The sequence below is a fragment of the Homo sapiens genome, chromosome 14 (genome assembly GCF_000001405.40).
Source record: "Homo sapiens chromosome 14, GRCh38.p14 Primary Assembly".
Lineage (NCBI taxonomy): Eukaryota > Metazoa > Chordata > Mammalia > Primates > Hominidae > Homo > Homo sapiens.
In genome coordinates, this window is record NC_000014.9 from 67,783,787 (window position 1) to 67,796,478 (window position 12,692).

At 42.6% G+C, this 12,692-nt stretch overlaps 1 protein-coding gene across 5 annotated transcripts in view; it reads right to left on the reverse strand.

Annotated features, from left to right (window-relative positions):
• ZFYVE26 (zinc finger FYVE-type containing 26) overlaps positions 1-12,692 on the reverse strand; it is an 87,699-nt gene that overhangs the window by 54,895 nt on the left and 20,112 nt on the right. For 3 of the 5 annotated variants that reach the window (XM_047431173.1, NM_015346.4, XM_011536609.3), the window contains exons 13-20: positions 10,385-10,453; positions 9,822-9,973; positions 6,786-6,987; positions 5,549-5,812; positions 2,328-2,447; positions 2,072-2,236; positions 1,273-1,491; positions 548-650 (exon numbers count right to left, since the gene is read on the reverse strand). In XM_047431173.1, the coding sequence (XP_047287129.1) occupies positions 548-650; positions 1,273-1,491; positions 2,072-2,236; positions 2,328-2,447; positions 5,549-5,812; positions 6,786-6,987; positions 9,822-9,973; positions 10,385-10,453 (1,294 nt within the window). Of the gene's footprint in view, positions 1-547; positions 651-1,272; positions 1,492-2,071; positions 2,237-2,327; positions 2,448-5,548; positions 5,813-6,785; positions 6,988-9,821; positions 9,974-10,384; positions 10,454-11,556; positions 11,735-12,650; positions 12,672-12,692 lie in introns of those variants that run through there. The other 2 variants (XM_047431175.1, XM_047431174.1) reach the window with 2 other exon arrangements.

Below are 12,692 nucleotides of genomic sequence, written 5' to 3' on the forward strand. Positions count from 1 at the left end.
ATAGATGAACAATAACTAGGCTCCTGTTAGTGGACAATGAATTTTCTGATCTGTTGGTACTATATACAAGATTGCAATGAAATGATTTTGCATATAAATCATTTATGTATAATAAAGCTGTAGGATAAATTATCCAAAATGGTTTGCTAAATCAAAGGGCATATGAATTTGCAATTTTAATAAATATTGACAAACTGCCTTCCGACAGAGGCTGTACAAATTTATGTCCCACTTGCATTCTCTGAGAATGCTGTTTTCCTACAGTCTAATCAACTATCATGTTATTGAATTTTTAGATTTTTGCCTATTTATAAAGTGCAGAGTCACCCACTGATTTCATACTTAACAATATACATGCTAAAGGTATCGAGAGAGAAAGCAGGAAACAAGGCACATTAAATTTTCAGTTATATAAGAATAAAAAATTCAGTCAGGAAGAAATCCCCACTCTCTGTGCTAACCCCAAGCACCACCGCACTGAGCCCTTGGCTATATTGATGAAATCATCCGAAGGCCCATGGCTGACTTGCATGGAGGTGGCTCCTACCTCTCTGGGGGAACTTGTCTCTCAAACAGGAGATGTGACACCAGTTGGGAAGAGCTCTGTTGCAGCAGAACAAAGGGATTTCCTACCTTGACCTCCACATGATCTGCAAAGGTAAAGAACATGATCTTTGTTTGCACCACTGACTGCAAGAGTTCAGAGCCCTGTTTCCCAGAATTGAGAAAAAAGTACAGTGTCAAGATGAAGACAATATGGAGAGCCTTCTGTTAATTCATTCTAGGTAAAGGGTATTCTCAACATGAACCTGACCACAAGTTTTATCTATATCTTACCACTGCTCTAAAGACTTCCAACCCCAGACGAACTTCAGTGGGCAGATCTAGCCACGGACAGCCAACTCCTGCTCTCTTCAACCCGACTGAAGTGCATGTAGTACTCACTCTGTGGACTTAAGAATCTGGTACTCATATCAGAGACTTGATTCCTCTGCTGGGTGCTCAAATTCACAATGGACCACAGGTCTGACAGAGATATTTTTGAGTCGCTAATTCCAAGAAAATTAATTGAGTACTCCCATGTGCTATACAGCTATACTAGCACAAAGATGAGTAAAATAGCCAGAGATGAATAAGAGAGGACAACCTTATAAATCTAGTGTTCTTGGCTACTGCTGTATCCAGAGCCTTTCAATTGTGCATCTTTTCTCTTCCTTGCCCTGAACACTTGCAGGTCTGCCATGAATCTATTGCCTCTTTCTTGCTACCTACCAGGCTCAGAGCTCAAACTTTGAAGGAGAACTGCAGCAAGGGTGCTGCAGTAACTGAAGAAGGTGCCCAAGTAGTCCATCTGCCTGCTGCCTGATGGGGTCTGTTTGCCCAGGTTCTTCTGGAGGAGCTGAGTCTGGATCTGCACAGGGTGGGCCTCTGCCTCTGGAGCTTTCTGGGCTGCCTGCTCCACCAGGGAAGACAGTGGAGGAGTCCTGGGCTCTGAGAGGAGGATGGCAGGAGAAAGGACACAGGCTTCAGTCTGTGAGTCCAGCTTTGGGTCAATTTCTGACTGGATATGTGAACTGTGCCCCCTATACACTGCCTGGGGCATCTGATGGCCTGGACACTACACTTACAAGGCAAATATAAAATCCTAAGTCAGTCACTTGGACAAGTGATTCCCAGCCAGGGAAAGCTTTGAGTCTGGAGTGTATAAAATTACTCTGGTGTGTATAGTTCTATTTTTATCCTTGTCTCTGGGGTGGAACAACTTTATGAAGAACACAGCAATCTTTTGGGGAAGGGTTCATCAATATTTACTAAGCACCTGCTGGCTGTATTTCTTATTCATCATGAGAAAATGTATCAGCTGATGGAGTGTTCACCATTCTTTCAATTGAGAGGTGGGAAAACAGGTGAAGTTAAGTTACGAGACATTGAGACATGCCCTGGCTAACTAAAGGGCTGATAGATCCCAGTTCTGGAGTCCCAAGCCTCTGCTCCAAAGTGCTTCGTTACTCTCAGCTGTTTCCTCTCCCCAGTTCAGCTTTTATTTGTTCCCAAGCAGACAGCCTTATACCTGGCAGCTCTAGTGCCTCTCTCAGTGACTGAAGGACCTGATCTAGCTGCTGGGAGAGGGTGGTGTGGCTGGCAACACAGTCCTCGCTTAGGCTGGGCCAGCACATCTGAAGCAGTTCAGTGATGCTGCACCGTGGAGGGCCTCCTCCCTTTTCTTCCACACTCTCTATGGAAAGCAAATGAGAAAGAAAAAGTAAAGTCTGTTGCTGACCTAATGTTCCAAGTCCAGGAGAAGAAAAGAGAAAAAAGCAACTCACCTGATTTGGTTTGACTGGCTGACATAAGCAGATAATTGAGACTCTTACTGATTTGCTGAAGAACAACTGGAAAACCTCGAATGCCATCAGCATTTAGGAGTACGTGGTCTATCCGTCGACCTGGAAATAGATGAAGGAAGAGGGAATGCAAAAAAAAAAAATTGAAGTGTTTTCAGAGATTGACACTCAGTCCTGTATTTACCTGTGAAATTTTATCCTCTCCAATATTAAGGAGGAAATACATGCTGTGCCATTTTGGGTGACAACCAGTATACTTGGCTTATTTCATGCCTGAGATTCTAGGACTGACTCTGGCAAGATGCCTCAGCTGTCAACAACATCAGCAGATTCAGAATCTCTGGCACTCCTATGGAATTGTTGTCCCAAGCCAAATAGATTTGCCTTGGTACTGCCTTCAGTTGTACTCAACTTGAGCGGAGATCATATGTCTTCTTTAATTGCTTTAAGTGGTATCTTGACACTCCAACTAGACTATGAACAACTTTATGGACACAGATTATTCCTTACATCTCTCCTATACTCCCATATGCTCAGGATAATCTGGAAACACAGTAGTCACTAAATTAATTCCTAAATCAGTATATTGAAGAGATATTTGCACTCCCATGTTTCTTGCAGCACTCTTCACAATAGCCAAGATTTTGAAGCAACCTCAGTGTCCATCAGTGGATGAATGGATAAAGAAAATGTGATACATATACACAATGGAGTACTATACAGTTATGGAAAAGAATGAGATCCAATCATTAGCAACAACTTGGATAGAACTGAAGATCATTATGTTAAGTGAAATAAGCCAGGCACAGAAAGACAAACACCACATGTTCTCACTTATGTGTGGGATCCAAAAATCAAAATAACTGAATTCATGGAGATAGAGAATAGAAGGATGGTTACCAGAGGCTGGGAAGGTAGTAAGGGGTGGGGGAAGATGGAGATGGTTAATGAGTATAAAAAATAGTTAGAGGCCGGGTGTGGTGGCTCACACCTGTAATCCCAGCACTTTGGGAGGCTGAGGTGGGTGGATGGTGAAACCCCTTCTCTACTAAAGATACAAAAATTAGCTGGGCGTGGTGGCACACACCTGTCATTCTAGCTACTGCGGGGTTGTGGGGGAGGGCTGAGACAGGAGAATCACCTGAACCCAGGAGTCAAAGGCTGCAGTGAGCCGAGATGGCGCCACTGCACTCCAGCCTGGGTGACAGAGTGAGACTCTGTCTCAGAAAAAAAAAAAGTTAGAAACAAGGAATAAGGCCTAGTATTTAATAGCATAACATGGGGGCTACAGTGAATAATAATTCAATTGCACATTTAACAATAACTAAAAGAGTCTAACTAGCTTGTTTGTAACACAAAGGATAAATGCTTGAGGGGATGGATACTCAATTTTCCATGATGTGATTGTTAAGCATTGTGTGCCTGTACCAAAAAATCTCATATACTCCATAAATACATACACCGACTATGCACCCACACACACACACAAATTCCTCATTGATTGACCTGAAACTGTTTCAGTGATTAAGAGCTTGAATAATATTTTATTTTAGGATATAAGTATTAGATGAGGGGAAGAGCAGATCACTGGACACAAACAGCATTGTATAAGCCACTGTGTACTTTCTTTGAAGGACTATAGGGACTATGTAAACATTAAAGGACATTTTAACCAACAGCTCAGAGGTGATTTGGAGGGGTGTATAGAAAAGAGTTAAACAGCAGGCTTGACACTGCTATCCTTAGAACATCTGCTTGCAAGGTTGGCCCTTGGCTGGCACTGTGGACTTGACTGGTAAGAAGTTTCCTATGCTTACGTACTTTCCCTAAATAATAACAGTGGCTCACTGGCCCTAAACTCTTTGTACAATGTGGTTTATGCTGAACACCTGCTTTCCTTTTAGGAATCTGGAATTTGCTACATGTTAAGCAGAGGGTGTTTTTGTCACCAGTCCTCGAAAAAAAAAAACCGTGGGTGGTTGGGTGCGGTGGCTCACGCCTATAATCCCAGCACTTTGGGAGGCTGAGGCAGGCGGATCATTACGTCAGGAGTTCGAGATCAGCCTGACCAACATGGTGAAACCCAGTCTCTATTAAATATACAAAAATTAGCCGGGCGTGGTGGCACGTGCCTGTAATCCCAGTTACTTGGGAGGCTGAGGCAGGAGAATCGCTTGAACCCGGGAGGTGGAAGTTGCAGTGAGCAGTGAGCCGAGACTGTGCCACTGCACTCCAGCCTGGGGGACAGAGCGAGATTCTATCTCAAAAACACAAACAAACAAACAAACCTTGGGCCTTGAGTCTCTAATGAGCTTCCCTATATACAACACCTTGCAACTGCTGGCACAACTCATTGCTGGAGAAATAGGCATAGGCATGCCCTGTGTAGCCACAGGGAGAGGACTCTTGGAAGCTTGCACCTGGTTTCCTCCAGATTTTATCCTATGAGCCTTTTTACTTTGCTGATTTTTCTTTGTATCCATTTGCTGAAATAAATCTTAGCTCTATGACGATAAGCTGATTCTTGAGAGTTCTCCTAGAGAATCACTGAACCTGGGGGTGGACTTGGGGACCCCAGACACATGGGGCTACTCATATCATAACCTATTCACCACTCCTCCCTCTATATTACTAAGGCAGAACAGGTTCCTTTCTCCTCCACTGCTCAGTCCTTCCAATGTTTGGTGCAAGTAGCAAGGACAGGTGTGGGGAGTAGAACGTTGCCTAATTCTACCTTCATATACTGATGCCTTCACATACCTGATTTCTCTAAGAATTCTGTATGCACATTCTGCACTGTTATTCACCTCAAGGTATGATCATCCCTCCAACTGTGACTCATTAAGTTTTCCCTTACACCTGGCTTACAAATTCAAGATGGTCTCAGGTTTTAGGTTAAGTGAAGTTCACCAAGGAGAAAGGCATGGAGTCTTAAGGCTCGAATTCCATTGATACCATTTTAAAATGTATATTTCTTCTTTGAATTCACCTATAATTCAATAAAGAATTTCCCCAAATTGCTATGTCTATTTTGTCTCTCAACAGACTGTATTTATGCCATCAGATTGTATGTGACAAAATTTCATAATCCATTCACCATCTGCCTCCTCCAATAACTGCTTTCTTCCTGGACAATTTATCAAGACTCTCAGAAACCCATCTCATTTGAGAATGAAGGGATACAGCTAACACAGCACACTCACCCCGCCTTTCAAGGCTACTATTCAAACGCCGTTCGGCTGTCTCCAAAAGCTGCTTGCAGGTTTTCCAGAGCTGGCACTGAGAGCAAGCTAGGTCAAATGCAGCCATGGCAGGGGGACTGAGGTCTTCCAGAACCTCTCTCAGGGGAGCAGTGGGCTCCACTAGAGCCGTGCTTATCCAAAAGTCCTCCTGGAGCATGGGGATGGGGTCTCCAGAGGTGTTGAGCAGCTTGTCAGTCACGTCAGAGATAGAGTAAAACACCATTCCTGGCCGCCCAGCAGAGGAATAAAAAGCAAAGGGTTAAAAGGATTCTTACTACAACTTTTATTAGGTAAAGTAGTTACTTTCAAAATGTTTGAGGTTCATCTGCACAGGGTATCTTTCATGTATATTAGCACTATCATTATGGCCCACTCTTATAGCTTCAAAACAGTGGCATGAAAGGAAGACCAAGAGACTCAGAGTGGTCCAGATGAGGGAGGGCTTTTTCCAAACGGAATCTCAAAGTAGGTTCAGAAAGAATGACGTAGATCTGTGTGTGCTAATCAGAAAAGATCTCTAGAACGCATCACTAAAAAGCAAGGTAGACTATAGTATTGTCCTAAGAACCTATTTATATTAAAAACAGAAAGGATGTGTGTATGTTCTTGTGAATAGGCATAGAAAATTTCTGGGATAATATATAGGAAGCAATATGTGATGGTACCATGGTATGTAGGGCCTAGGCCAGTAAGAGTTGTGAAAATGTGGAACAAGATTCCAACTTCAAGAAGTAATGAAAGGATGGGCTCTTTTGCAGTGCATCCAAGGTTGGGAAACTGAGACCTGTGAATTCTAGGCCTTAAATTTTAATACCCAACTGCACTTTATAGAACAGTAAAACAATATGCTTTATCCCTGAGTAATTACATGGGAAGGAAATAAACTCCTAACCATTTCCTGAAGCCAGAGACAGTGGCCATCAAAACACAGGTTAAAAACAGCATTCACAGGCTTCATTTAAATCACACAGGATAAGCTTTATGCAGTAGGTTGAGTGGTGGTATCTGAACAGCCTGGGCAAGGAGGATGGGCACAGCTGGAAAACTGGACGTATCAGGTTTGCTGTTTTTCAAGGCAGGTGTCCTGTATTTAATTTCTGCTCACCCTCATGAGGAGCCTAGGATTTTAGTGGTTTCTCCCCTTTTACCCCCTCTCCCAGCCACCTCACCACTTATGGTGTTAGCAGGGAAGCCTGACCTGCTGCTGCAGCGCTGCCAATGGCCTGTAGAGTTGAGCGGCCACTGCCAGTTCTCCGAATGGTGCTGCTACCCGCATCTGAGTTCTGGTTTTCAATCTTGTGCTCTACTTGGGCCAGTTCTTGGATCACTTCCTGGTAGCGCTCCATGAACATCAGTTCCCCTGAACTGGGTGAGGACTTCAGGTTGAACGTGAACAGCACCTGTCATAGGAGAGGGAGTGTGTGGGCCCTGGTGGTCCCACTGATTTAGGGAATGTCCATGGATAGGAGATCTTGCCAACCATTAGACTGTGGCCCTAAGATGTCTTTGTGCTTTGTAGGGTCAGAAGAGCACTGAATGTTAGAAGAGCAGGTCAACTATAAAAAATAATTCATAAAAGTAAGAAAACCACCAAAGCCTCAGTAGAAAATAGGCAAAAGATGTGGACAATTTCAGAGGAAATATATATGACTAATATATAAATGAGAAAATATTTTTTCCCTTGTCAGTAATCTAGGAATTTAAGTAACAATAACATTTTGCATCTATCACAATAACAAAGCACAAAAATAAATCCTCAGGAGATGGTGTAACATTAAGTGTCACAACTTTTTTGAAAAGCAATTTGGCAATCCATAAAGCTTTAAAAATGTTTACATCTTTTGACTCAGTAGTTTTTATGAGGAACTTTCTTAAAAAAATAATTCAAAAGGCTTAATGCCTAAACGTAATCACCTTGGCACTATATATTACAACTATTACAAGGTTAAAAATAATCTAAATCTTGAGCAACAGGAAAATGGTTAAATGCAGCTACTTGATCAGACTATTGTAAGGTCACTAAAATCAAGGTTAAAAGACAAATGCTAATATTAAAATGTAAAAATGCATGATATAAAGTTTTAGATTTGAAATAATCTCAGCTATATAAAAGTCATACATATTTTGGAGAAATATTGGCCAAAAAAATAAATTTTTAATATTGGTTGTTCCATACTATAGGGTTAAAAGTAATTTTATTTTCTTGTTAATACTTTCTGATATTGTCGTATATGTACAACTTATTCTGTCTGTATCCAGGTCAAAAAATAAAAGTTTTTATTGAAAAAAAAAAAAAAGACCACGGCTCAAGAAAAGGAGGAGAAGTGGAGGACATTTAGGGGTAAAATATCATGGGACTCCTAGCTAAATTCCTCTGGATTTGAGTATTAGAAAGGCTGGGGAGGGGCTGGCGTGGTGGCTCGTGCCTGTAATCCCAGCACTTCAGGAGGCCAAGGAGGGTGGATCATTTGAGGTCAGGAGTTCAAAACCAGCCTGGCCAACATGGTGAAACCCCGTCTCTATTAAAAATATAAAAATTAGCCAGGAGTGGTGGTGTGCACCTGTAGTCCCAGCTACTCAGGAGGCTGAGGCAGGAGAATCGCTTGATCCCAGGAGGCAAAGACTGCAGTGAGCCGAGATCGAGCCACTGCACTCCAGCCTGGGTGAGAAAGTGAGACTCTGCTTCAAAAAAAAAAAAAAAGAAAAAGAAAGGCTGGGGCTGGGGAGGGTCCTATCCTCCTCCAAGGATCATAATTATAATTATCATTAAAGTATAAGATCTAAAATGATCAGAGAAGGTTAAGTAAAAATTGTCCTGTTACCTAGAGTTCCCTAGATTTATTCCTCAAAAACTGAACTCACATGAAAGAACAATTCTGACCTACATGTTACGTAGATAAACTACCAAATACTTTACTACCAGTAAAAGTATCATTAATATGCCAAGAGGGTTTTAAAAATTAGAAGAGTACTATTTTATGTTATTAAGTTTAATAACTTGTTATTAAGTTTAATCAATAGTAGAGGATTTTTATATTTCTCACGGCTAGAACATAATCCTCTTAACATTCCTATGAGGTAGAAAAACCAGGTATTACATTTAACTCCAATTTTCAAATGAGGAAACCAAAGCTCAGAGAGGTTCAGTCTTTCTGATTACCATTCCAGTGCTATTTTCTCTCTACAATACAAATATTCTAGTCTGCTAGCTCTCCATACTTCTTGTATATTGAACTGGCATTCTATTTATAATTGAGACTGGGCGCAATGGCTCATGCCTGTAATCCCAGCATTTTGGGATGCCGAGGCGGGTGGATCTCCTGAGGTCAGGAGTTTGAGACCAGCCTGACAAACATCGCAAAACCTCATCTCTACTAAAAATACAAAAATTAGCCAGATATGGTGGTGCATGCCTGTAATCCTAACTACTCGGGAGGCTGAGGCAGGAGAATCGGTTGAACATGGGAGGTGGAGGTTGCAGTGAGCTGGGATCGCGCCACTGCACTCCAGCAGCCTGGGTGACAAAAGCAAATCTGTCTCAAAAAAAAAAAAAAAAAAAAAGAAAAGGAAATTGTATTATAATTTTTAACTAGATAAAAACATGGGCTGGGTGTGGTGGCTCATGCCTGTAATCCCAGCATTTTGGGAGGCTGAGGCAGGTAGATCACTTGAGGTCAGGAGTTCGAGACCAGCCTGGCCAACATGGCAAAACCCTGTCTCTACTAAAAATACAAAAATTAGCCTGGTGTGGTGGGCACCTGTAATCCCAGCTGCTTGGGAGGCTTAGGCAGGAGAATCGTTTGAACCTGGGAGGTGGAGGGTGCAGTGAGCAGAAATCGTGCCACAGCACTCCAGCCTGGGCAACAGAGCAAGACTCTGTCTCAAACAAACAAACAAACAAACAAGCAAACAAACAAAAACCCATGTATATGTTCAGAGAAGGAGTCAAGGAGAGAAACAAAAGTTTCCATGCTTTTAAGTGGTGGGAGTGTGGCTGAATATTTTCTTTCACCTTTTAAAAACACTGCTTATGTTAAGAACCACAAACAATTCACTATCTTTCAATCCACCCTGCTGAAGACTGGGCCTGGGCACATGGAAACCCCCTCTTGCTTCTGCTTCTTCTGCTTGATGTGGACCCCTGAGTGCTCCCAGGTGGCTCTGGTTGTACATGCTCCGAGCCTTACCTGATGCTAAGTCATTCAGGGGCTGAAAAGGTATGGCCTCCCCTCACCTGATGGGCTTCTGCGAAGTTCCCGCGAAGGATGCAGGATGCCAGCAGTGACTCAGGTGGGGAGAACATCATGGGGATGAGTGAACTTTGAGGATGGGGGTGCAATCTACTGTGCAGCTCATTCCGGCCAGACATGGCACTCAGACTTCCCTCTGTTGGGACACAAGAATGTGTGGGGCCAGAGAAGCAAGAGGAATTAAGGAAATGCTATATTGCTGCCACCTCCCACCAAACTTTTATCTCCTCAATGTCCTTCTGTAAAAGGCCTGTAAATAGGTCTTAATTTTTCCTCAAATGAAGGGCAAACCTATGCTACCATCTTTGAATAGAAGATGCTAAGTGCCAACTACCTTCTTTGGGTATTTACCTCTATTTCTCTCTGTTGCTGGATAACTAAATTGAGAATGAAACAGTCCTTTCCCTTCTCCCAGCTAAAATCTGGCCATCTGCCAACCTTGAATAACAACCTTGACTGCTCAATCCTGGCTTTACACCATGGTGTATGGCAACTCTATATCAGGGCAAAGCTGCTCAAAGTTGGCAACTGGTGGAAATCTGCATACCTGACGTACTTGTGCTCAGCTCACTACTTGTACTTTCCAGGGATGGGTTTGAACCTCTGTCTCGGCCATCTACAGGTATTGGGAAGAAGAGAGAAAGTCAATTATCAGCTCCTTATAGAGTAGGAAGTGTGAAGTTGGCTTGACAGCCAAGATCTGTGTAGTTAGAGACAGAGGATAATGAATAACTATGACACCTGCTGCTCCTTCTACAGCAAAACACAAGCTCCTATAGACCAAAGGCAAAGGGTGGGCTGAATATGGCAACAGAGTTCACCTGGGTAATAGCCTATACCAGTGGTTCCCAACCTGTGGGTCTCAGAGCCCCAAGAACTTTCAAGTTATTTTTAGGGGTCAGTGATCAGCACCTGCTCAGTAAGCACTGGCAGTATTCTGAAAAAATAAAAGCACAACTGTTATGACCAGGGAGTGGTAGGGACACAGTATTTCCTGACATAGAAAAAGGTATCTTCATACTTGAAAAGGCAGACAACTGGCTGGGTGCAGTGGCTTACACCTGTAATCCCAGCACGTTGGGAGGCCGTTGTAGCAGGATAGCTTGAGGCCAGGAGTTTGAGACCAGCCTGGGCAACACTGCAAGACCCCGTCTACACAAAAAATTAAAAACAAATTAGTTGGGCAAGGTGGCATGCACCTGTAGTCCCAGCTACCCAGGAGGTTGCGGCAGGAAGGATTGTTTGAGCCCAGGAGTTCAAGGTTACAGTGAGCTATGATTGTGCCACTGCACTTCAGCCTGGGTGACAGAGCAAGACCCTATCTGTATTAAAAAAAATGTAGGGAACCAAAGTCTAAGACCTGGCTGGCCAAAGACCATGATATTCAAAGTCTCAGAGAAAAAGCTTCTCTCTTCTCAACACCAGGCTTCCTAACATGTTAGAGCTTTCTAACAGAGGCTCGCTATTCCTTAGCCTGGTCATTCGAGGGGCTGTCTCAGCCTCATGCAAGGGAGGCACCTCAGTTCACTGTTTGGAAGCCCTTTAGAAGGAACAGCCGTAGAAGAGATGATGGGTTGTGCATTCTTGTGCTGAATGGGTCAAGTGGATGCAAACTCTGCCTTCTGACCCAAAACAATTAATGTAGCAGCTTAAGGGACTTAGCAACGCAACCTTGAAGCTTTCTCTCACGGCATCCTCCGCCCCACCCAGTATGCTCACCTTTCATGTTGCCACTTAGCTAGAGCCTACTCATTCTCTGGAGCTTGGTTCAAGAGTCAACTCCTTCATGAAATCTGTTGCCCTGACATCTGCAGGTCATGCTGATATCCTCTTTTAAGACATTTCTTCTGTTTTCAGGCAGGGTCGCAGGTCACTTTAAACTTTCCATGTATACTATCTAAGCAGGTACATTACAAATTGTTCGAAGTCAAAAGCCTAGCTTGTGCCTCATTTACCTCCCTCAAGATACCTAGTATTGTTTAGCCCATGGGAAATCCTCATGAATTCCTTTTAATTTTTAAAAGATCAACACCAAAAGCCATAATGAAAACTTGATTCTCTAAAAATTTAATACTCCTGCATAATGCGCCTATATTAACTTCTCTAAGAAAAGCCTATAAGTGGAATCAAAAGGCAAAATAGAGAAAAAAATAATAGCACATGATGAGAAAATATTTTCTGTAATGTATAAAGAGCTTTCTAAAATTGAAGATAAAAGAGATTCCTAAGAGAAAAATGGACCTTAGACATTAGGCAGTTTACAGAAAAATATAAACAGTCAATAAATATGTGAAAAGATATTCAATCTCAAACTAAAAAAAATACTACTGAAGCAATGAAACATCACTATTAAATATATTGGTGAAGGTTTTAAAAAATCTAATACTATTGACTGATGAGAGTATGTGCAAACAGGCAATCACATACAGCTTGCAGAACTATAAATAATAGGAGGGAGAGAAGGATGGGGAGAGGGTGATTAATGAATATAAAATCAGAGCTGGATGGAGGGATCAGTTCTGCTGTTCTGTAGCACTGCAGGATGAATATGGTTAACTATAATCTATTATATATTCTCAAAAAGCTAGAAGAAAGGATTTTTTTTTTTTTTGAGATGGATTCTCACTCTGTCACCCAGGCTAGAGTCCAGTGGCACAATCTCAGCTCACCCCAACCTCTGCCTCCCAGGTTCAAGTGATTCTCGTGCCTCAGGCTCCCGAGCTGGGCACCCACCACTACACCGAGCTAACTTTCATATTTTTAGTAGAGACAGGGTTTTACTATGTTAGCCAGGCTGGTCTTGAACTCCTTACCTCAAGTGATCCATCTGCCTCAGCCTCCCAGAATGCTGGGAT